Source organism: Homo sapiens, chromosome 6 (assembly GCF_000001405.40).
Source record: "Homo sapiens chromosome 6, GRCh38.p14 Primary Assembly".
Classification (NCBI taxonomy): Eukaryota; Metazoa; Chordata; class Mammalia; order Primates; family Hominidae; genus Homo; species Homo sapiens.
The window spans coordinates 145818643-145845314 of NC_000006.12; the positions used below are offsets into that span (position 1 = coordinate 145818643).

The 26672-nt window shown below is 36.7% G+C and overlaps 1 long non-coding RNA gene across 3 annotated transcripts in view; it reads left to right on the forward strand.

Annotated features, from left to right (window-relative positions):
• EPM2A-DT (EPM2A divergent transcript) overlaps positions 1-26672 on the forward strand; it is a 151717-nt gene that overhangs the window by 83774 nt on the left and 41271 nt on the right. For 2 of the 3 annotated variants that reach the window (NR_038246.1, NR_038244.1), the window contains exon 2: positions 9719-9814. This is a non-coding gene — a long non-coding RNA (EPM2A divergent transcript). The remainder of the gene's footprint in view (positions 1-9718; positions 9815-26672) is intronic. The other variant, NR_038245.1, reaches the window with a different exon arrangement.

The window sequence follows — 26672 nt, forward strand, 5'->3', positions numbered from 1 at the left end:
CATACAGGCTTGGACAAGACCTAGTGGCTTTTTCTAGAGGCTATACCCAAGTTGAGGAAGGAATAAGAACTACAAAAATGACACCACAAATACAAAGCCTAGACACAAGACTAGACTGTAAGAGAGAGAAGTTGTCAAAGAAAATAAATTCAGTTGCTAAATAAAGTAAATTCAGCCAGACAAATGGCTCTTCCCTTTGTTCAATGTTAGGTCAAACAGACCTATGTTCAAGTAGGTTTTCTTTTCCAACTAAACCAGCCTGTACTCAGGTAGCCCAGGGCCAAGGCAACAGATAAGTTAGGACTAAAGTCTAAGTCATGTTCTAATTAAGGAAAGGATCATTGCCAGAGACAAGTGTGATTGGGTGGGGGCTGATTTGCAGCTGTGAAATCATGGGACAATCAGAATTACCAGCTGGGACTGTGGTGGGAAATACCATTCCTCTTTTATGATATGCTCCTACGGGATTGCAAGAGAGAAAGAGCCGGTTTGAATCACCTAATTCCCAGAGTCTAGAATCTAGTAGCTATAATTATATTTCCTATATAAATTCATTTGAAGTATGAGGAATATGATAATTAACATACAATTATATGATAATTTGGAAGCAGCCTGCCAAGGCTAATATTCATAACCCAAAGTCAACCTTGCAATTTTATATAAATTATCAAGAGAATTTGAACCAAGGCAGCCTGGAATATTAGAAAAGCAGAAGACCAAGGTTTTGTTCCTGTACACCACAGACTTGCTATAAGACATTGTTGAAATTATCATGTGCATTTCAGTGTTTCACAGTTTGAGTTATTACAATTAGATTTCTTAATATAGTGTCTAGCATACAGAATATATGCTCATTAAACAAATAAAGAAACAAATGAAAAATCCCATTCCCTGAAAGGTTGTACCTCAAAGGTGTGGTATTTGCATTTCGGGAAGCTAGCACTTATGGGTACTAGTCTGTGCTTAAGCAGATGTTTAGGTAGCCTTCTCTCATCTCTTAGATGAGAGGACATCTAAGAGAGGACATCTCTTAGATGTCCTTTCAGATCAGTTGTCTACAAATACATATGTGACTTTGCTAAGCAAACAGCACTTTCTGATAGTACATTTTTAGATAATGTTTAATATCTATGTATACATTTCTCATTATTCGAAGAAATTTGGTATAGATTAAATATCTGGGAGAAACCACTTCTAATTTACCCCATAAATGGGCTCACTATTTAGTTCTCAGTTCTACTATATTCTCTATTCAATTGCATTTGTAGCAAAGTCAAATGCCTTCATATAAATGCCATGCTGGTAACAAGAAGAGGGCTCAAAAGAGGTTGTTGGGATCAGGCAAGCACATTGTTACTGAGTTGTTACTTAGCTCTAGTCTAATAGCTGGTGCCACATGTGAATGGAAGAAATGGTGGCAACATATTTTCTGATTATTTTTAAAGCTCCTGGAAATTCATATAACTATGTGAAACCACATAATGCGGTTTTCAAATTTTTTAAAAACCCTGCATGGGGAAAAAAATCTACCACAAAAAAGCCTACAGCTTTATCACCCTTGTTTTAGTGACTCATCCAAAAGGTGATAAAACAGAAATTTGTATTTATTTCTGTGCCTAGCCTGGTTTCCAAACCATTTGAGTCTCATTTTCCTCTGGAGGTAGATTTCCTATGCTTAAATGCTGACTCCTAATTCTTGGTAAATTATTTAACCTTTCTGTCTGGGAGAAAGACTCTCAGATGGCCCCCAAACATCCATGTCTCCTACTGTTCACACATAATCTCTCGAATGAGGACAAGAGCTATAACTTGCTTTTTAACCAATTAAATATGTCAAAGGTGTTAGGATATCACTTTCATGTCTACGAAAGATTCTGACTTTTGTCATGCTAGCAGACTCTCCCTCTTGCTGGCTTTTATGAAACAAGTTGTCATGTTGGGGAGGCCCACATGGCATGGAACTGAGGATATTCACTGTCAACCATCAGTTAGGAATCCAGGCCATCAATTCAATATCCCAAAGGAACTGAATCCTGCCAACAACCACCTACATGAATATGGAAGCAGATCCTTTCTCTATCAAGCCTTCAAATGAGACCCTCGCCCTAGCCAACACCTTGAATTGCAGCTTTGTGAGAAACCTTAAAACAGAGGCCCCCACTAAGCCATGCCCTGATTCACAGAAAATGTGAAGTTGTTTAAGCCATTAAGTGTTTGATGATTTGTTGTATGGTGATAGATAACTAGTACATCAGATCCTTCTTTTCTCATCTCTAAAATAGGAAAGAATAGTGTTCTCCCCTGCCCCAGCGTGTGCTGTTTTGAGAATTGAATGAATTAATATCTTTAAAGTACTTAGAACAGTGCCTGGCACATGTGGGCACTCAATAATGTTAGGTGTCTTTTCCTCAGCCAGATCCTAGAGGTAGTCAAGTATCTTAGCAAAAAAGGGTAGTAGGCAGAAGCAAAAGGGGCTGTCTTTGTGCAGCTTCAAGCTCAAGTGACGAATTGTGACATTATTTTAGGCAGAGGAAAGTTCTTTCCCACTTGTGTTCCACCATGGGGCAACTTTGCTGCAGAGACTGGTAGAGCTGTAGGGGCACTACAGAAGCCAGGGGAGCTGTGCCCTTATCAGGGTAGCTGGTTGGCCTTGCCCTCGATGGACTGGGCAGTGAAAAGGAGACCCAAGCACAAGATCATAAGTGGATCTAGTCTTGAGCACTTCTAACAAAATCTCTGGGAAAACTCAGAAACAACTGAGTCATCCTGTGCAATGGACTTCTGAGAGAGATTGAGTCTACTCACTAAGATTTGTAGCCGAAGCCAGGTGTGGCGGCTCACACCTGAATCCAGCACTTTGGGAGGCCGAGGTGGGTGGACTACTTGAGGTTAGGAGTTCAAGACCAGCCTGGCCAACATGGTGAAAACCTATCTCTACTAAAAATACAAAATTAGCCGGGGTAAGTGGCACACACCTGTAATCCCAGCTACACAGAAGGCTAAGGCAGGAGAATCTCTTGAACCCAGGAGACAGAGGTTTCAGTGAGCCGAGATTGTGCCGCTGCACTCCAGCCTGGGTGACAAAGCAGGACTCCATCTCAAAAAAAAAAAAAAAAAATTGCAGCTGAAACCTCTGTTAAGCCTTGCAGTTAAGCAAGGCTGATAATCCCAGCAGGCAAAGGGACAGGGTCTGTTGTCTACCTAGTTTATTCCTGTATTCTCAGAGCCTAGGGGATATGATATACTCAAATAAATGTTGGTTAAATGACATTTGTGTTACACACAAATAATTGTAAATTGTTGCTTCATATTTTGGGATGGCAGCACACTTTTCATAGACCTTTCTCTGACCTTACATTTTGACAATAAAGGAAAGAAAATGTATTATTACATTGGGATAGAAACTTACCTGCACACAGCTACTTTGGGACATTTCAGGGTACAGAAGCAACGTGGTCTTCAAGGTCAATGGATTATTTTCCACTCCACTGAAATATCTAAGGTGACAAGCAAGCTAAACTAATTTGTCTTTCTAAGACACAATATTTCCTGAATAAATAAAGTAACTAGCATTACTTTTATTTATCCTTAGTTATACAAAGTGATTCAGGATATATTTAGAGTATTAAAGATGGGACTGGGACAAGAGAAAGAAATGTGTATATGCAAATCAATAATTAGGGGTTTATATTAATATCACTCAATGTAGATCAAGTTGTTGCAGTAAGAAAGACTCTATCGCATAAACCTTGAAAGTAAAAAATGTAGATTTGGGGGAGTTTTTCCACCAAAAGAAGAATTGGATGTCTTCCAGAGCATCGATGAAGGAATGGTAAGACATAAAAGGAAACTCACTTTCTAATTTGCTTTTCCAATATGCAAAGGGTTAAAGGTAAGCGTGCTCTCCATTCATATCAGCTTACAAAGCTGAAGCTAGTACCTGGCAAATGGCCCCCTGATTCATCTCTAGACTGACTTCTTTTGAGGGTAAACAAAACTCTAGGAAAGGTATGTTTTCTTTTCCTCTTCCTCAAAGTTGGGAAATCTGAGGTCTCTCCAGTGGTGGGTATTGAAAGACAAGTCATCTGGGTGGAGCACAATGTTATCAATTTGTTCCTCTGGTAATTTATGAGGTCTTGTGGAATCACCTATTAAAAGCAACCCTGGAATGAGCAGTATTTCATTTAGAATAATGGACAGTTGGTAGCAGAAGAGGATCTGAGGCATGGGAATAGGAGATTTCAAGGGCCTCAAGATGGTGAAAGAATTAAAAGGGAAGGTGGAGGCCTCCAAAGTCTAGCCCTGTATGTGTACTTCATATTTGTTGCAAAGTCTTGAGAAGCAAAGTCTTCCACTCAATAGCCCTGTCTGTTTCTCTGTTTTTCTCTGCTTCTGCATCTGTGTCTCTGGTTCTTTTTTTAAATATGAATTACATAGTAATATGTGACATATCAAAACTACACAGGTTGCAACTCTGACATCATCCTCAATTTGCCTTGACACCCTGGAGCAAATTTTTATTCATGTAGAAGTTTCATTGGGTTTCTGGATGCAAAGGAAGAACCAAAGTATTTACCCTTAATATCCTTTTTATAGATGTCCTGGAGCCAGCTTAATTGGCATTTAATGCCCCTTAGGCATTATGACTTTTCATATCACTCATATTTCATAAATAGAAAGGGCAATAAAATCAATTTCTGAGCCAGAACCAGAGTCTAGGACCACTGACTCCTACATAATGTGATTTAATTAACAAGATATTGAGAACAAACACACTCAAACAAAAACTAGATTAACTCTACATTGACTTGCAGTTCACTTATAAGATGCTTAGTTTCATTTCCAACCTGAAATGGAAAGATCTAAAGCAAGCCCACACGAGTCATACATTAAAGCCTATGTCACCACAACCCAAATGGCTTGTCATCTTCTCTGGGTGTTTAATTTGTCCCCAAGTCTCTCTCAGACACTCCAGAGCTGAATTAGCTTGCCACACCCTGATTCTGCTCACCCACTTCTCAGTTTATCTTATGCAGAGAAATATTATAAACAACATATGCTTCTATTTATTTCCCTCCTTAGGTCACACAATAACATTCTTCAGAGAAATAGAACAGTCTAATGCCTCAGTACTAAGATAACTTCAGTTGCTTCCCACATTTGGTTAAATGCTCTTAATGTTTGTAAAAGAACATAAACCTTTGTGAAGTAGGGGGGAAAAGACTTCAGAAAGAAACAGAAGGCAAATTATACTTTACAGAGCTAGATGATGCAAAGTACATCAGAGTAAATGCACATGATCTAATTGTGTTGTCAAAGCTCATGGTTTAGAAGACTCTGACTTGGTATAATAAGAACAGCAACATGAAAGCTTCCTTGAGTTTACCTAAGAAGTCTGAAAATATATGGATCTTCAGATCTGGGACAGAGTGGGGACAGCAGGGAAGTGGATGATAAATAATCTACTGAGAAGAGGGATCTGTCACCCAGGCTGGAGTGCAGTGGCGTGATCTCGGCTCTCTGCAACCTCCTCTGCCTTTCAGGTTCAAGCAATTATCTTGTCTCAGCCTTCTTAATAGCTGAATTACAGGTGTGCGCCATCATACCTGGCTAATTTTTGTATTTTTAATAAAGACGGATTTCGCCATGTTGGCCAGGCTGGTCTCAAACTCCTGACCTCAAGTGATCTGCGCGCCTAGGCCTCCCGAAGTGCTGGGTTACAGGCATGAGCCACTGCGCCCAGCCAAGAAAGTCCTTTTTATTGCTTATAGGGTCCTATGGCATAAGGAAAGCTGTGAATATCTACAATAACTTCCAGCCTCAGCCAGATTTTTTTTCAGTAAGAGCAGGTGCCTGGAAACAGAAGGGCTGAAACTAGATCATGCAACAGGTGATCACACAACAGGTTGGGAAAAATATTTCTACTTTCTACCTTCTGCTCTTGCCTTAGGCCTTGAAGTCCTGGCTTCGATACAATTCTTTTGCTTTGCTATTTTCACTAGCAGAGGCAAGTTCTTCCCCCCAAAAGTTGTGAGTCCATTTTGATAAGTAAAACTGAACTAAGCTAATTTTAGGTGAAGTGCCCCCCCTATATTTGTATAATGCATTTAAAACCATTTTTTATAACCACTTGTTGTAAGTTCACTATCAAACTTGTGAATTACTCAAGTTATCTCGAGAAATAGGGACAACAAGCATTTAAGCAAGATACCCAAAGTGTCACAACACAGAATTGGATGTACAGCTGTGTGTGGTCTCCTGATTGCATATTTGCCCTCTTTCAGGAACATCTGAATTCACAACAACAACAACAACAACAACAAAAAACTAGCAAATAAGTTAGATCTTACAGATTATTAATTCTTTGATTTTATTTGATAAATGCAGACAGCAAATGCCTGTCTGAAGCCAGGGTGTTATTCATTGGCAGTGTCAGAATAGCTGGGACTTAGCAGACTTACTGTTTGGCACCCATACCACTGTGATGTAGCACCTTGCATTAAAAACAGCAAAATGCCCTACAGTCCCGATGCTTCCATTTTCAGAACATTTAGATGGCTATCCTTCTGGAGTTGTGCAGTCCACAACTTGCAAATCCAAATAAAGTGGCCATGTATGGCTTATTTCTGTATTGTTGCTACACATCACATATAGGCTGATTAAAGATCAAATTTCCTTGCTTGTAAGTAAAATTATGGCATCTCAAGGTGGAAAAAAAATTGTTTAAACTAATGAGACTGTGCGTGCATGAAGAGAAGAAGAACGGGGATAGGTAATTAAAGGAGACTTTGGTGGTGACGAGATTAGGAACTAGGTCCTGAACTTACCCTACAGACATCTGGGGTTTGTGAGCCAAGGACAAGAGTTTAGTGAAATGGGAGAGACATCTATGGTAACTATGGGGACAAGTAGAGCCTAGAAGGGGAAACAAAGCAAAATACTTTCTTCACATGTTTATAGTGGTGTTCATATTGAGGTGGATTAGAAAGATAGTTTCTAATCTTAGATTGAAAGGCACCTCAAGAAGCCATCTCTGTTTTGTTTTTTTAATGTATTTTTAATTTAGGGAACAATGGCTTTGTCTCATTTTATACATAAATCCATTTAAGTAATCAACCACGCTATAATAGGGTTCTACTATAAATCATATGAGAACCAAACATTACTTACTATTTTTTAACACAGGAAAAAAGTCTTTAAGATCATGTTTGGAAATATGACATTTAAGGTTTTAAAAAAATTTTATAAAAATTCCAAGAAAAATATTCCATTTACAAGAGCTGCAAGAAAAGTAAGATACTTAGTGACATGGTTTGGATCTGTGTCCCCACCCAAATCTACGTTCAGTTGTAATCCCCAATGTTGGATATGGGGCCTGGATGTTCCCCTGGATGCTGTGTTACAATAGTGAGTGCGTGCTCAAGAGATTTGGTTGTTTAAAAATGTGTAGCACCTCCTCCCTCTCTCTCGGTCCTGCTCCTGCTGTGTAAGAGCCCTGCTCCCTCTTTGTCTTCCACCATTCTTGGAAGCTCTCTGAGGCCTCCACAGAAGCAGAAGCCACTATGCTTCCCGTACAGTCTGCAGAGCCATGAGACAATGAATCTTCTTTTCTTTATAAATTACCCAGTCTCAGGTATTTCTTTATAGCAATGGAAGAACAGACTAATACACTTAGGAATAAACTTAACTAAGAAAGTGAAAGATCTCTACCCCGAAAAACTACAAAACATTGATGAAAGAAATTGAGAAGGACACAAATAAATGGGAAGATAACCTATGTTTGTGGATTGGAAGAATTAATATTCTGAAAATGGCCATAAAACCCAAAGTGATCTACAGGTTTAAGGCAATGCCTGTTAAATATCAATGATATTTTTTACAGAATTAGAAAAACAATCCTGAAATTTATATGAACCACAAAGACCCTAAATAGCTAAAGCAATTCTGATAAAAAAGAAGGAAGGCTTAGACATCACATTATGTGACTTCAAAATATGCTACAAAGCTAATGTAACCAAAACAGCATAAAAACAGAAACATTGACCAATGGAACAGAATAGAAAGCTCAGAAATAAATTAACAAACCTACAGCCAACAGCCAATTGATTTTCAACAAAGGTGCCAAGAATCCACACTGGAGAAAGGACAATCTCTTCAATAAATGGTGTGGAGGAAAATTGAGAAAAAGAAAAGTTAAAAAAAATTAAAAAGTCACATCTCCCGCATGCAGAAAAATGAGACTAAATCCCTACCTCTCACCATATACAAAACTCAGTTAAAATGAATTAAAGACTTAAATTAAAGGCTTGAAACTATGAAACTACTAGAAGAAAACATAGGGGAAACATTTCATGACGTGGGGTTGGGCAATGATTTTTGAAATAAAACTTCAAAAGCACAAGTGACAAAAAAACAAATGAGATTATATAAAACTAAAAAGCTTTTGTACAGCAAAGGGATCTATAAGCAGAGTGAAGGGACAACCTACATAATGGGAGAAAATATCTGCAAACTATCCATCTGGCAAGGGTTAATATTCAGAATATATAAGGAGCTTGAAAAACTCAACAGCAAAGAAACAAATAACATAACTTAAAAATGAGAAAAACACCTGAGCAGACATTTCTCAAAAAAAGACACACAAATGCCCAACAGGTATATGAAAAGATACCCTAATCATCAGAGAAATGCAAATGAAAACCACAGTGAGATACCACCTCACTCCAGTTAGAATAGCTATTATCAAAAAGATGAAAGGAAACAAGTGTAGGCAGGTATGTGGAGAAAAAGAGACATTTACACACTGTTAGTGAGATTGTAAATTAGTACAGCCATTATGGAAAACAAAGGTGCCAAGAGTATACATTGGAGAAAGGACAGTATGAAGATTCCTCCAAAAATTAAAAATAGAATTACCATATGGTCCAACAATCCCACTACTAGGTATATATCCATAGGAAATTAAACCAGTGTGTCAAAGAGATGTCTCCACTCTCATGTTTATTGCAGCACTTTTTACAATAGCCAAGATATGGAATCAATCTAAGTGTTAAACAATGAATGAATAGATAAAGAAAATGTGGGCCAGGCAGGGTGGCTCATGCCTGTAATCCCAGCACTTTAGGAGGCCGAGGCGGGTGGATCACCTGAGGTCGGGAGTTGGAGACCAACCTGACCAACATGAAGAAACACCATCTCTACTAAGAATACAAAATTAGCTGGGGATGGTGGCTCATGCCTGTAATCCTGGCTACTCAGGAGGCTGAGGCAGGAGAATTGCTTGAACCCGGGAGGCGGAGGTCGTGGTTAGCCGAGATTGCGCTATTGCACTCTAGCCTGGGCAACAGAAGTGAAACTCCATCTCAAAAAAAAAAAAAAAAAAAGAAAAAGAAAAGGAAAATGGGGATACCATTCTACGATTAAAAAAAAAGAAATCTTGTCATCTGTGACCATATGGATGAACCTGGAGGACATTATGTTAAGTTAAATAAGCCAGACACAGAAAGACAAATACCACATTGACATGATTTGGCTGTGCCCCCACCCAAATCTCATCTTGAATTGTAATTCCCATAATCCCCAGGTGTCATGGGAGGGACCTGGTGAGAGGTAATTGAATCATAGGGGTGGTTACCCCCATGCTGCTGTTCTCATGACAGTGAGTGAGTTCTCACGAGATTTGATGATTTTATAAGAGGCTTTTCCCTCTTTTGCTCAGCCTTCTCCTTGCTGTTGCCATGTGAAGAAGGATGTGTTTGCTTCCCCTTCTGCCATGATTGTAAGTTTTCTGAAGCCTCTCCAGCCATGCCAAACTGTGAGTTAATTAAACCTCTTTCCTTTATAAATTACCCAATCTCAGGTATGCCTTTATTAGGAGCATGAGAATGGACTAATACACACATGATCTTACTCATATGTGGAATTTTTTTAAAAGTCAGTATCATAGAAGTAGAGAGTAGAACAGTGTTTACCAGAGAACGGGGAAGGAAGAGGGGATGAGGAAGATGGAGAGAGCTTAGTCAAGGACTCAAAGTTGCAATTAGATAGGAGGAATACGTTCTGGTGTTCTCTTGCATAGTAAGGTGACTATGGTTAACAGTAAGGTATTATATAATCACAAAATTGCTAGAAGAGAGGACTTTGAATGTTCTCACCTCAAGGAAATGATAAATGCATGAGGTGATGGATAAACTAACTATCCTGATTTGATTATTAAACAGCATAGATATGTATCAAAACATGAAATTGCATCCATACATATGTACAATTACAACGTGTCAATTAAAAAATTTAAAAAATCGATATCTCTCATGGAAGTCCAAGTCGTTTACTGATACTGGTTCTGAATTTGTCCAGATGCATTAAATACTTGATTGATATTAATATCAATATTAGACTCAGAATGGGCTGCTAACGAGCCAAGAACTAAGGAATTTAGTTCTTGTCATTCAGGTGCACTGGGGGAGAAAAAAAGCAATGCAATTGGAGTCAGTCCCTGAAATACAACCACTTGAAGAATGCACTGTCACAGGGGACAGCAGGGCCAATACTTGTGTCCTGTGAACTTGAGAGGCCATGCTCTGCTTTGACCTCTCCCAACCTGTTTGCCTCTGGCTGCACCACTGTGCTCTCTTCCCAGCTCTCTCTGGCGTTGCCACTGTTGGCTGCCTCCTGCTGTGGCCCGAGCCATGCTGGCCTTGGTCCACTGGTTTAGTTGTGACCCTGTGCCTCATGGCCCTGGCTCACTTGCTCAGCCTCTTATCCTCCTGGACTCTCTTGGGAATAAGAACAGAGGAATACTAAAATACTGAGGACAAGATACATTTGGAGGATTTTTTTTAATTAATGAAAGTTACCATTGCAGTAGCACCATGTAGCATATAATTATTAAATACTCTGTAATAAGATCTTACATATGTGTCTACTATCTTCCCCTCTGAATACATTTATATTTTCAAGAGTTTGAAGCAAGATTACATGAAATAAAATTCATGCAATAGTGATACTAAATAGAAGAGTAAAATCTAAAACCAAAAGGCAATAAACATTTTTAATAATAGGCAGCAACAAATGACAGAAACTTACAGAGGTCTACTGTTTGTACCAAAGTTTGTACCAAACTTAAATATTTCAGGTTAGTTTAAGATTTTGTGACCAATATGTGTTAATAATGGCTCAGGAAATAAGGACTTGATACCTTAATTATCAAGGTAGAAGTAGCTTAGTGGTAGAGCAAGTGTCTGGAAGTATGAACTGATGCCAGACATGATGAATTTTCAATTAAGATATCAGCAGTTATGCTCAAACCCTCCTGGGAACTGAAAAAGCAACTTTTATGCTGTGAGTTTCCATATTTGCCTTGGCTCCTCTAACATAAATTCTTTCTTTCTGTATTTTTTTTTATAGAATCGAGTTCTGTTTTTACAAAATCATTGCACATTAGAAAATGTTACATTAGGTAAAATTTCAAACATTTAAAAGTAGAGAGAGTAGCATGCTAAGCATTCCTGTACCATTACCCAGCTTCAATAATTATAACCTCGTGGATAATCTTGCTTCATCAGCACTCCTTGCTCTGCCCATCTAGATTACATAGAAGCCAATTCCAGGCATCATATCATTTCCTTATGTATCTCTAGAAGGTATAAACTATTTATGTAAATATACCAGTAATACTATCACAACACCTTGAAAATAATAATTCATTATTATAAAACAGGTCAGTGTTCAAAAACTTCCAATTGTCTTGTAAAATTTTTTTAACATTTTAAAATCAGAAACAAAATTAAATCAATGTACAACCAATTGTAATTGGTTGATTTGTCTTCTAAAATTTTTTTGAAATGGAGCTATTATTTATATATGGCACTATTCGCCCTTTTAAGTATACGATTTTACAAGTGTCGACAAACATAGTCTTGTAATCACCATCTCAACCAAGATATACAATATTTCTATCACTCCCAAAACTTTTCTTGTGTCCCTTAGTTGTCAGTTCTCCCTACCCTCAGGCCCTGGCAGGGACTAAGCATTTTTTTTTTTTTTCTGTCTCTATAGGCTTGCCTTTTCCCAAATGTCATACAAATGGAATCACACCATATAGCCTTTTGAGTCTGGCTTCTTTCACTTAGTATATTGTGTTAATGATTAACCTATGTCACTGTATGTATTAGTAATTTCTCCCTTTTTATTGCTGAGCAGTATTCTGTTATGTGGATATAACACAGTTTGCCTCATCATCTACCTGTTGAAAGACTTTTGGGTGGTTTTCAGTTTTTTGCAATTATGACTAAAAGCTCTCTAAACATTAATGTATAGGCTTTTGTATGAATATAATTTTTAATTCATTTAGGGAAATATCTAAGAATATGATTGCTGGGTCCCATGGTAAGTACATTTTTAGCTTTATAGGAAACCGCTAATGTTCCATCTTCATTCTCACCAGCAGTGTGAGAGTTCTATTTGCTCTGCATCCTCACCGGTATTATTAAACTCTAACCATTGTAACAGATATAAAATAGAAACCTGTTGTGGTTGTAATTCACATTTTCTAATAAGTGATGATGTTGAGCATCTTTTTATGTGCTTATTTGCCATTTATATCTGCACTTTGGTCAAGTGTCTGTTTGGTTTACTTGCCCCTCTCCTGCTTTCTTTGTAAAGAGATGGGGTCCTGCCCTGTTGCCCAGCCTGGAGTGCAGTGGCATGATCATAGCTCACTGCAAACTTGAACTCCTGAGCTCAAGTGATTTTCCAACCTCAGCCCCCTGAGTAGCTAGATGTGCTCCACCACTCTTAGCTAATACTTTTAGTTTATGTAGAGATGGGGTCTCACTATGTTGCCCAGGCTGGTCTCAAACTCCTGGCCTCAAAGAATTTTCCTGCTTTGGCCTTTCAAAGTGCTGGAATTACAGGCATGATCCACTATGCCTAGCTTATTGCTCATTTTTTAAATGGAGCAGTTTTTCTTAATATTCTTTTGAAAATTCTTCATATAGCCTAGATAAAAGCCCACTAGTAGGTGTGTTTTATAAATATTTACTTTGTCTGTGGCTTGTATTTTCATTCCCTTAACAATGTCTTTTAAGAGTAAACGTTTTCATTTCGATGAAATCCATGTTAATCTGTAGGTTCTCCCTTTCTCTTTTATAATTCCTAAAAATGTATTTGTTGATGCAACCAAGCCGTGGGCCACACACTGCAATTAGTTGATGTATCTCTTAAGTCTCCTTAACCCTTCTTCTTCCATCTTTCTCACTCTCTCTCTTTTTTAATCCCTTGAAATTTATTCATTGAAGAAACCAGGTCATTTGTCTAATAGAATTTCTCTTAGTCTGAAGTTTACTGATTCCCACCACTCCCGTATTTCCTGCAAACTGATAGTTAGATCCAGAGGCTTGATGAGAATGAAGATCAATTTTGTAGTAAGAATACTGCATAGGTATACTTCAGCCAGGAAGCACATATGTCTGATGACTTTTGGGAACATTAGCAGCCATTAAAGATTATGGCTATTTATATATTTTTGTCAAGCAACAACAGCTGTAATCAAATTCTGTTTCTTCTTGAGAATTTTATTCATCTCTTACTATAATTTGACAAAAAAGTGCTATAACATCTTATAGTGTAAGAAATACTCTTCATATAGTATTTTGATTGGCCCTACCAACAACTTATTTAATAGACTTTACTCTTATCTCAGTTTTTCCCATGAAGTTACTGCAGTTCTGAGACAATAAATAACTTTTCTGAAATCACATGCAGCCAGAAGAAAGGGAATTTTATGAACCTGGATCCCATGTTCTTTACATCAGAAAATATTATCTCCTTATCAATTATATGTCATTGAATCATTTGAAAATTTTCATTGAGCACCTGTTATCTATTAAAACACTAAAAGTCAAAGTGGTTAGTAAAACTGACATTGTCCCTACCTGCATAGTGTTTACAGTGTAGTTAGAGAGATGGGCATTAAATAAATAATAACATACATAAATACCCAATTATCACCTCCTGTGATAAATGCTCTCATATGTTTGTTTTATAGATATTTTAGAACAGCTATTTTATGAGATATTTTTAAATTGTTATTTAGCCTGATTCTTCATCTCCCTATCACCATTTCAGAAGGCTTACACTATTACTGAAATGAATGTTTTCCTGCCCTTTGAACTGGAAGGAAAATACCTTCCCCAACACACATATGACCTCTATTCAACACTGAGAAAGTAGTAGAATCTCATGAAATATATATTTATTGGTTAACCAGTTATTTAACTAGTCTTATATATATGTTAGTACTTCATTTCTACAGAACTTAATTGTCTTTAAAATTTGCCTAATCAGGAAAGCAGCCAATACCCCAGAAGCCAAAAAGGACTAAAATAGATATACAAAGAACAATCAAAATATGTAAAAATACTCTGAAACAAAATGCATACTTTTTTTTCATAGAGGGATTCCATTTAACCATTTAAAACCTAAATTCTCTTAAAAATATGAGAATTTTTTGCACACAGTAGTTTTGAGTGTGGCTTTTTAATATCTTAACCTACCACAGAGTAGAGGCCACAAATTGAAATGTGATAATAGGATTGAAATAAGCACATATATACTAAAAGCAAGAAGAAAGAATTGCCTGAGAGTCTGGGGGAAGAGGAGAAGGTAGAAAAATTTAAACAGAAAATCTTCTAAAAAAGCCACACATCTGTCTTGTGACTACACATTTCTATCAATCCTGAGGGCAGTGCTGTAACTGATGTTTATAATAACATTCTGTAGCACATCAGAAAAAGTTGACATGTCCAATGAATTCTGTTTAAAAAGATAGAAGCATGTGTATTTATTAAAATTACTATTTAAAATGGTTAAAACAGAAAACACAGCCAAACCATTTTAAAGCTAAAAGAGTAACCCTTAGTTACCTACATTCCTTGGCTTTTTAGATTTAATTTTCAGAGGTTTGTGAATAGTCAGGTTTTCATTGGAAACTTAGAATCATTTCTAAATGAAACCAATAATTCTTAGCGCTCTGGTTAATCAACTTGTATTGACACAGATCCTCGAGGACACTCTCAATTCAAAGTCAAAAATCACGTTTTTTGTTTTTGTTTTGTTTTGTTTTGTTTTGTTTTGTTTTGAGATGGAGTCTCCCGCTGTAGCCCAGGCTGGAGTGCAGTGGCATGACCTCAGCTCACTGCAACCTCCACCGCCTGGCTTCAAGTGATTCTCCTGCCTCAGCCTCTAGAGTAGCTGGGACTACAGGCGTGTGCCATCATACCCGGCTAATTTTTGTATTTTTCAGCAGAGACGGGGTTTCTCCATGTTGGCCAGTCTGGTCTCGAACTCCTGGCCTCAAGTGATCTCCCCACCTTGGCCTCCCAAAGTGCTGGGATTACAGGTGTGAGTCACCGCACCTGGCCAAAATCATCTTTATTAACTCACCTCTATTTCTTCAGCATTGGCTCAAAATGGAGTTTATCCATTTACAAGACTAAAATCCTTTGACTTCCTATTTAAGAGTGATCTGCTCAGTGTAGTTCATTCAACACACATTTACTGAGTGATTACTATTTGCCAGGCTATGACTATTCCTTTACGAGGAATAAGAAAGTACGAGGTAAAACTGGTTTACTGTTTCACTGCTATATTCTCTTTCACATAAATGACAAAAAAAGATGTTAGAAACAAGTTCTGAATTTTTGCATCATTTCTGATCTATTGTAATCTATTGATTTAATAAGGATGCATGGGCCAAGTTTATGATTTCAATATAAATAGCAGGCTTTCAATGTGGATTCAGAGACTTTATCACAAAGCTACTTGCAAACATAGAGTGGGTAGGAGCTGATAGATTAATTTCCACTCCTAATTGCAATTAGTAAATTGTCACAATGATTGTATTGATAAAATGCATGTTTTCTTGTCATAGCAAACAGTAAAGGACACATTCTTATGGGAATGACAGGTGGCTAATAGCTTAATCTACTAACTAGTGACAGTAAAATAATAATATATAGTACTATTTAATAGTAATTATAATTATTACTTAATAATATTATATAATGAAATATAATGTATAATAATATTCCCTGATGATTACCAATGATACCCCAACCCAAACTGTCATTTGGTGTCCAGTCGATGCTTTATAACCCCACTGTGATGAGTAAATTATTTAACATTAGCAACGTGGTAAGTTCTCTGGGATAATTCTTTCATGGCTACCTTATCCAGGCAGGCCCATCCAGATACAGGCTGCTCAAAAAAGAACTATTCTACAGGCACCATACATTTCTCATAAGTACTTTTATATGCATGCATGATACAATCACAGTGTAGGACGTTTAACAGAAAATTGGTTACATTATTTCTTGTCTCTCCCCAAATGAAATCTGGGACATTATGACAATTTATTTTTCTAAGGATGATCTTGGTTCTGCCTATTGAAATGTCCTCACTCACCTCCAAGAGGAAGGGGGATGGCTTCAGAAAATGTCTTTAAGTGTTTTTATTTTTCACGAGTTATTTATTGCAACACTAGCTCTTCCCTGCAGGAAGCTATATAATTGTGTGCTTAATTGGTAACATAGAAGAATTCCTAGCTACTTCCTAGAGAATATACTGTTGAATTCCTTGTCACTCAAGTATCTGTTAAAAACTCAACCGTGGGAAACAATGTCTATGGATGCCTTTGGGAAAATACACATTTTACCTATTATTTCATCTTTTTTCTACTTTGTCAAGTAGTAGGTACCCCACAAAAATTGTTGATTGAATACATGAATAAAATCTTTCATTGAATTAAATCTCTTAAAAGCTGAAACATGTAACTCCAGAAGATATTTTTTGGCCCCCTAGTGAATTGTTGTTCCTGAATTCTATTTGGTGTGATGCTCTGGACTTGCACTGATAATTTCTCTTTGCAGCCTCCTATGGAACTCATGTTATTACATATCTCACTCTCTATAAACTACCTCAACATTTCTTTTCTGGTGCTAATGTGAGGAAGATAAGGCAGGCTTATCTTGAGAAATGGATTTGTTTTTATTTTACGGATATTATGAATTGGGTCACCAATCAGATTTCCCTTTTCTGATTCACTGTCACAGAGAAAAATTTATGGCTCAAAACGACAGTATGATTGCATCTTTCATTTAACTCATTTCCACTTCTAGTTTTTGCCCCCATGTTTGTTTTTCCTTATTTATTCTCATAGAATTTGTAGTTTATGATTTATTGGCATATTTTATTTGTAGCTTATTGCTATATTTTATGTTGCCCAAGATCTTAAATCTCTTTTGAAATAAGATAAAGTATTGATAAATAAAGTTTAATCCATCAATTAAACAAAACATATTCTATTGTATAGAAGAATCTGACAGTTGTTAGTCTGCACTTTTAAAAGCCACTGAGACAAGACAATCTTGGGAAGAATATTTATTATTTGTCTACTAACCACCCCTGCCTCCTTCTGAAAAAAAAGCAACTCATTCTTCTGGAAACTACTCCTCCTTCCACTGCAACTCTGCCTCCTAGAAATGTTGAGGACTCTAAGGATGGGTAACCAAACCAAGCCATTCAAATCACGGGCATTCCTTGGGTTGTTTTTGTTGTTTGTTGGGGAGTTGGTGTGGTGTGTGTTAGGCAATCTTGTCCTGTGATGGAATTGAGATGTAAAACTTAGGAACTGTCAGTGATCATATTTCCTGCCATGAAGAGAAAGACTGACTCAGTGTGAGACAAAGTTGGCACAGAGGGGAGGCGGGGAAGAGAGAGAGAAAGAATGTAAGTGAGAGAGAGAAAGTAAATGAAAGAGAAACCTGGCATCATTCAAGTTCCTGACACATTCAGTTCCTGAGACCCAACTCAGTGCTTTCTTTCACATGGTTTGGATATTCACTGCTTCTTTAGATTTTGGGAGATAACAAATTCCTCTTTCTCAATATGGGTTCAAATTGAGTTTCTATCACTTTCAAGCAGGAGTCCTTAATGATAGATGCTGCTTTCAAGCTTTATTGTGAAAAATTTTGGCCCTAATCCTCATCAGCCCCAGTCTACTTTTGTGCAAGGATATAATTTACTCGTCAACTTGGGAAGTCTGTATCTGGCTCTAATTTTCATTTGAAAGAAAACCAGTTTTTCCTCTTAATGATATGGTATATAAAACATCTGAAGTTTGTTTTGGAAAATACTAATATTGCAAGCATTTTTCAGTTAACTCAAACTCAAGTGTTTTGCTCTCTTGATTGTGTCAAAAGTTGGACTTGGACAGTGGTTTCTGGAGATACGGGAACATGATAACTAGCATTTTCCACATTGTTTTACTCTATCTCCATACCAAATCAATAGAAATCTACATGTCTGGATGAGTAGAATGGAAAGAATGTGACTTTAGACCATGAAGATCCAGATTCATGTCTTAGCTTTACATGACCAAGATCCTCAATCTCTCACAGTTCCCCTAGGAAACTTCTAGAAGAACAGTAATATGTACCTCCCAACATTGTTAGGGAAAAAATATGTAAAGCCCTAATACGGCATCAACATATAATAGTGGGAGTTATTGTCACTTTATTGGCTCACTATAGAAAGACCTTTCAAAAACTTTAACAATTTGCCTTCAGCTTTTATTCAGAATTCATACCCTCCCCAACACCCACAAGCTGTATTTATGTATCTTCATCCTTTGTACTATTATTAATTACCTAATCCTCTTTACAGAAATATCCTTACACTATACTCCCTCTTAGAATTTTGTCCTAGAAGAATAAAGACGTTTCTAAATTGCTCGTTTTCTTTTTATGTTGATAAAAGCATGTGAACTCATCCTGTTCTCCCTCATCTTCTTTCTTTTTCCCTTTGACTATCAGTAAAAATAGAGCTAAATTTAATGCTCAGTTGCATAAAACTAGATTAAACTACCTACTTATTACCTCCTTAATTATTTAAAAACATTATTGTATTCTTTCATTGGTTATGTTGTATGTGTGACTTCAAGTAAGCTTACATTATTCTTGGGAGTAGGCATCAGTGTATAAATAATAAATGCAATAAAGGCCTACACTATTTTAGCAACCCTCAGATGAAGAATGACTGAGCCAAGAGTGTGAGGGTGGTAGGTCTTGTATTTGATAGTTGTTGGACAAAGTGCTCCGGCTCCCTACAGATCACCCTTCAGGCACCAGTTCTACATTGGCTGCCTCCTATTCTCCCTTCTGGTCAGGCTTTGTGAGAGGCACCCTGTCTTTCAGACTCCATAGTCCATGTAGCCCATTGCCTGCCAGCTATGAAGGAAAACCACAAGGTAAAAACTTCTTCAACTTGAGTCAAAGTGTTCACAGCTAAGGGCAACATCAGACTCAGGGAAGGCTATATCTACTGCTAGACATGCAGTAGACACTGGGAGAATTTATATCTTTCTTAATGATTTGGACTGTCATTAACCTACTCTCTGAGGAAGACTTGACCCCCCTTTGTGTCTTGGTTTTTATGACACCTACACTTGTTTACCCACCATCTTTGTCCATTTGCGTTCTTGTAGCAAAATACCACAGACTGGGTAATTGGAAAGAACAGATACTTTTTTAAAAAAATAGTTATGGAGGCTAAGAAGTCCAAGATCATGGCTCTGGCAGGATTGCTGTCTAGTGAGGGCTGCTGTTTGCCTCCAAGATGGCACTTCACTGTCATGTACTCCAAAGGGGAGGAGTGCTGTGTTCTCATATCAGGGAAGGGACTAAAGGAGGGAAAAGGGCAAATTTCCTCTGTCAAGCCCTTTTAAAAGAGAACCAAATTCCATGAAGGAGGGCAGAGCCCTCATGACTCAGGGACCTCCTAAAGGTCTCAACTCTTAATACTGTTGCATTGAAGATCAAGTTACAACATGAATTTTGGATGGGGAAAAACACTTAACCCACAACACCACCTGCATCTCCAACTAGAACAAGACCTGCTTAAGGTTAGAAGCTGTGTCTTACTCTTCTCAGAATCTTCAGCGTACCCTACAAACCTAGTACATGGTTTACACAGTATGTTAAAGGAATAAACATATCCTCAGCATAGCAAGTTGAAATGCTTAATCATTTGCCACCAATAATAAAGTGTAAATAGAAATTATTCATTACAATGGTATTTTGTTCTCATTTCCAGAAATCAGATTCATGCCTTTTGTAAAGAATGTGTAGTCTCAGGATAATAGAGTCCTGCACTTAAAGGGAGATAATGCCTAGAAGAATCAAGTTAACTTTGCAGATGTTTTGATATATCTGGAAATATCTCTAATAGGAAAATGAAAGCCAGGAAGCTTTTCTGGAACAGTAGGTTTTATGTTGCTACTTAAAATATTCTGTGCCATTGTTCAACTATATGCCATCCCAGCAATCTTTGAGTTTTAAATATTTGGCCCCTAGAGAACCACTTGGGTCAGTTGCTGTCTGGTCACCATCCCATTCTAAGACTGCCCTTCGGGTTACATACACTGATGCTGCCAAGCACTGATGAACTATTCTTATATAAAAATAGAAAGTACATTCTAGAGGTGAAACATATATACATATCTTTTTAAAGTAATGTTTAAGAAAACTATCTTATATTTCCAAATTCCAGAGGCTGTTTCTTGACAATTTCTGAGATAAATAAACCACACATTCTTTTAAGTCAGAAGCAGCAAGTTTGAATTAGTCAATGGAATCTTCACCTACATTATTTATCTACATCTTATCATTATATATGTCAGTTAAAGGAAGGAATTGGTATGACTATTTTACTAGAAAAGTGATGTCTTCCAAAACTGATGAGGAAACCTGAGTGAAAGCTCAATGGAATTAATTTCTTTATTGGTGTTTTCCTGTTTTAGGAAAGGTTCTTAACATGTTAGTAATTTCAAATAACTCTCCATAGCTGTTTCATTTTTCTAAATTATAAAATACATTCTCTCAGCTCCAAATACTTCCTGGCCTCTGACTATTGATAATTGGAGTTTGAAGGTTCAAACAAGATCAGAATAGCTTACATTGGAGAAAGTGACTATCACAGTTAATTTTATGTGTCAGCTTAGCTAGGCCACACCACCTAGATATTTAGTCAAACATTATTTTAGATGTTTCTGTGAAGGTTTTTTTTAGATGAGATCAACATTTATATCAGCAGATTTTGAGTAAAGCAGATTACTCTCCATAATGTGGGTGGGCCTCATCCAATCAGTTGAAGGCCTTAAGAGAAAAAGATGAACTTGTGGAAGAGGGATTTCTGCCAGCAGACTGTCTTCAGACTTGAACTGCAATACCAGCTCTTCATTGGCTCTTCAGCCCACCAGCCCACCCTGCAGATTTTGAACTTGTCAAGACTCCACAATCATGTAAGCCAATTTATTACAATAAATCTCTCTCTGTCTCTCTGTATCTCTCTCATTTCTTATATATTATATATAATTTATATAATATACAATGTTATATAGTATATATAATAGAATTAATATATAATTAATATATAAGATTAATTATATCTAATTTATACATTTATACATTGTATATGTAATTATATAAAAAGAATTTTATATATATTTTTAAAAATATAAATATTACACCAAATCTTTTTCATTATATACATAATATATGCATTAATTATATAATTATATTACATATATTTATATACATTATATATTAATTGTATATATTAATTATATCTAAATCACGTATTTATATATAAATTTTTTATTCATATATAAATTAATATTTTATTTATATATAAATTAATATTTATTTATATATAAATTAATATTTTATTTATATGTTTATATAAATATAAATATCTATGGATAGTATATTAAATATAACAATATTGTTATAATTATTTAAAATATAATAATTAGACAAATATATAAGTATATAAATATATAATTTTATATATTAATTATCTTCAAAATTATATGATATAGTGTGTATAAAATGAAAGACATTTATTGTAATGTTAATTTATTATTATTTATTTATATATTGAAATATATAATATATTTTGTAAATGTAATATGTAAACCTTCCATATATTTATTTATATGTATTTTAAAATATATATCATATATTACATATTTTATATATGAGACATATTATGTTCATATGTTATATTTTTATATATGACATGTATCATATAAATATATAATATAAAAATATGTAATGTACATACACACATACATATACTATATATAAATATGTAATATACATGTACACACACATACACACACATGTATATATTCTATTGATTCTGTTTATTTGGAGAAACTTGACTAATACAGTGACCTTTTATCCTATTTGGTCAGTGGAATCTGAATGGCCTCAAAAAGTGATGTCAGGTAGACTCTTCATTTTATTAGTCTGCTTTAGTAATCTGTTACAATATATTACAATCTTCCAATTATAATTATATTATGTAACTACAATATATTAAACATTAAGAGAAGAAGCTTGTTAAAACTAGTGTTGGTTTGTTGCTAAAACAAAATACCACAGGCTGGGAAATTTATAAACAACAGACATTTATTTCTCACAGTCTGGAGGCTGAGAAGTCCAAGATCAAGGTGCTGACACATTTGGTGCCTAGTGATAGCTGCTCCCTGCTTTAAGTAGGCACTACTTGCTAAATCCTCACACGGAGGAAGGAGTGAAAAGGGAACAGAGAATGCTGTCTTCACATGACAGAAGAGAGGGAAAGGCAAAAAGGTGCTAGAGCACTCCCAACTTCTTTTATAAGAGCATTAATTCGTTCAAGAGGATAGAGCCCTTGTGGCCTAATCAACACCCAAATTCCCCTTTTCTTAATCACTTTGGGCTTTAAGTTCCAACATAAGAATTTTGGAGGGACACCTACGTTTGAACCACAACACTAGGAATAATTTTTAATTTATATATTTCAAAAATTTGGCATCTTTGTTATGGAGCAGGCAATTGCCTGTATACTGGCCAATATACTTTTTTTTTAGTTTAACAAGTGTGTATTAACTGCATGCTTTTCTGCGCACTGCAATTCAAGCTATGATTTTGGGTTGAAAAGCTCTTGTGGTTTGGGTTGTGACTATTAGCACCTCACTGTAATACAGACACAGAAGTGATCCCCTGATCTAGCCATTGTTCTACCAGGAACTTGTTTCCCAGGATTTTTGCTGACAAACTTGCATTTCAGTTGCCTGTTTACTCCTGGAAGTGCAGATATGGACAACTGGAAGTGCTGGAAATGCTGGTCCTGGACAATTGGCTTGATGTCAGGTAGCTTCAGTTCTAGGCTTGACTGAGACAACACAGGTGCTTTTAACTTCCCCACCCCTCGCTGCAGGATATAGCAAAATCAGCAGAAGCAGAGCCAGGCAAAGACAACTTTTTATTTTTTCTCCCCTCTTTCTTACCCGTCCCCATCATGTTTTAAATGAATTCTCTGTTCCAAAGCACATGAGCTCCTTCCCAGAGGCTGATAGTCTCTCAGTTCCTCTGGTCAGTGCAGGCCTTTCCCATGGGTCTCAGCCAGGTGTTTCTTCCTCATGCACCATGTACCCATTGTCCACTGAAGTGGGTCTAGGGGAATGGACAGGCAGGGTATGTGGAAGGTCTAGACAATGGAACAAACCAATGGAGCTGCATTGCAGCTCTGTGCGTTTGCAGCTCTGTGAATAGGTTATTATGGGTTCTTTTTATATCTAAGCAGCTGACTGCCTGTTGTCAGAATCAAAGATAAATGTAATTATCAAAACCCATATATGCCAAACACCCTCCATAGGAAGCAGTGGTGTGCACTGATCATATTTTTGATCCAGAAACCAGTCTTTAATTAGAGAAGCTCAGGTAGAGGGAAATAACACTTCAATATGATCAGGTCTATCCAGTGAAGAAGGAGTGGGTGAGAAAGCCCACCCTGAAGGAATCAAATCCTCTCTCTGGGCAGCTCTCCAACCTCTAGCTCTACGGACCTCACTTTTTGAGTGGGAAAAGCCCATAGTATGGCCCAATTAAGTCAAAAGATGGTATCAAATTGTGTTAAAAAATAAAACTCCTTTTAATTTCATAAGGAAGTGATTCCAAATCACACTTCTAGAATGAATAGGAATTAGAGGGAATGTTATGGAATCAACTCATATGAGAAAGATTCAGCCTCAAAGATTCTGAGAATATCTGCCTTAACCAGTTGAGAAAGAAGGTAGACTGTTTCCTTTTTTAGTCTTTGCTCTTTCACAACCATGGCAGTAGGGGAATTGTTTAACTTGTGAAATGCCTTTTATACAATCTGCTTGGGAAGGCATTTTGTTTATAATGTGATAACTGTGCCAGCTTTCAGAATTCCTTTCTTTTGTTTTTAAGGTCTAACATGAAACACTGAATGTTCCCTGTCTTCACAGCCTGTTCTCCCTCCTCCCGCTGCCCCTGCCTGCTTTTTCCCTGCCTCCAATCCCATAGTCAGCTATCAGAACAACAGATTACAAGTAAACATCTATTTATTGAGCACTCATGGAATAAAGGGTTTTTTTTCTAAGTTGTGTACAGAGATGAATTTGTCAACATTTTATTAAAAGTATCTGAGGGAAAGAAAGTTTCGAACGATACTAGGGATTTTTAGCAATAAGCTTGAGAGCTTGGGGTCATATAGCACAATGACAGGTTCCAGAAACAGAGACCTGCTTTTTAATTTAGTTAGCTGCCTAAATATCATTCTGTTTCTTAATTTGTTTTCTTTGCCAGCTGTGTCAGCTAATTAACTTCCATTAAGATACATTATGAGCAAAGTTTTGTTTTTGTTTTCACTGCAGAGACTATGTTAACTCACAGTTACTTGAATTTAAAGTAACTAAGTCCATTAAGATGTATGTTAATAGTTTGGTTACTGGGAAAACATTTTGTGATTTTAAGCAATTTGTGTTGGTAGAAGGGCAAGATGATCTTTTCCCTTCTAATAGCATAATAACATATTCTTCAAATATGTAGAAAATATTGTGAAAAAGTGTTTTCTAAAGATGCTTATCTATTTTGGCTACCAAAAGAGAAATGTTTTCTGTATTTGATTTGCCTGTGTAGAAGACATCTGCAAGATATTTATTTATTTATTTTTACTTGCTCTGCACTTTTTTCTTCTGGAGAAGCAACCCATTTCCTACTTCAAGGTCAACTAAATTCAGGGTCAGTCAACAAGGTCAGTCAAGTGCTCATTATTCCTCTCCAAACTGTGATCAAGGATGGGCAGGTAGCTCAAATCAGGTTGTAATTCTAATTGCCAGGATGAGCGGTGTTTGCTTTCACTGTAATCTGCAGCTGTAAGAATAATGGAGCTCAGAGGCACTGTTTTGCCAAGACTTGGAAAATCTATGTATTAGTCCGTTTTCACACTGCCATAGCAAACTGCCCGAGACTGGGTAATTTATAAAGGAAAGAGGTTTAACTGACTCCAGTTCAGCATGGCTTGGGAGGCCTCAGGAAACTTACAATAATGGTGGAAGTCAAAGGGGAAGCAAGGCACCTTCTTCACAAGGCAGCAGGAAGGAGAAATGCTGAGCGAAGGGGGACGAGCACCTTATAAAACCATCAGATGTCATGAGAACTCACTATTACAAGAACAGCATGGGGGAACCTACACCAGTGGTTCAACTACCTCCACCTGGTCTCTCTCTTGACACATGGGGATTATGGGGATTATGGGGATTAAAATTCAAGATGAGATTTGGATGGGGACCCAAAACCTAACAATATCAACTTATGAATGAAGAGCACATCAAGGCAAGCAGATCCAGAGGTGAAGAAGAGAGCCTGATGACATTGCATGGTCTCCTCAATGTATTTGTACCTGACCCATGACAGACTGCCCACTTACTTAAGATGATAAATTTCCTCCTTTCTGTCTGTTTGCTTAGGGTAATTTGAGATATATTTCTAGCCTAACTTTGAGAAACTTCTAATATGCCCATTAATCTTTAATTAAAATGTAGTATCATATAGTCATATTTTGCCTAATACATAATATGATTTCCAAAACCTTGTCTAGATGGGAAGCTTACCAGACTTCCAATAGCAAAACTGTGATATATTTAAACTATGCCGTGGAGTACAGATCACTGTAAGAAATCTCAACAAAACTGAATATCTGTATTTGTGTCCTAGATTTTTTTTAACTCATTATTTTCAATACTGTTTATGCTTCCCAACTCAAGAGTGCCTAGGAAGAATTGAGAAGACATGAAAACATGGATTTTACTTGATCAAAAATTAATAATCCTGTTTTCAACACATACTGACTTTCAGTGTCTTGGGCATTGTTTCATCTGACTGAAAAAATGAATTTTGGACAAATGAGAAATAAATGCTAAGACCCAGTCAGAGTTCAATTATCAATTTTATATTACTTAAAAGCCTCTTCTGTCTAGATTTAGCTTAGTATATGTCACAGCCAGTGACAAGTCACTCATATGGAGAGGACTGCCAAGTCACCACGCTACTCAACTGTTGTACAAGTTTTGCTCCTAACACCTTGCCAAGTTGTTGGTGACTGTGCAATTTATACTCCAGAGAAAATTTCGTTTGTCATTCTTACTTGGTTAACTTGCCCATGAAGTTTGTCATTAATAACTTGAATTCTCTGGATCTAATACCATTAAAAATAGAAGCAAGAATCCCAGGATGCTAATTCTGTCCAATGAGTCACTT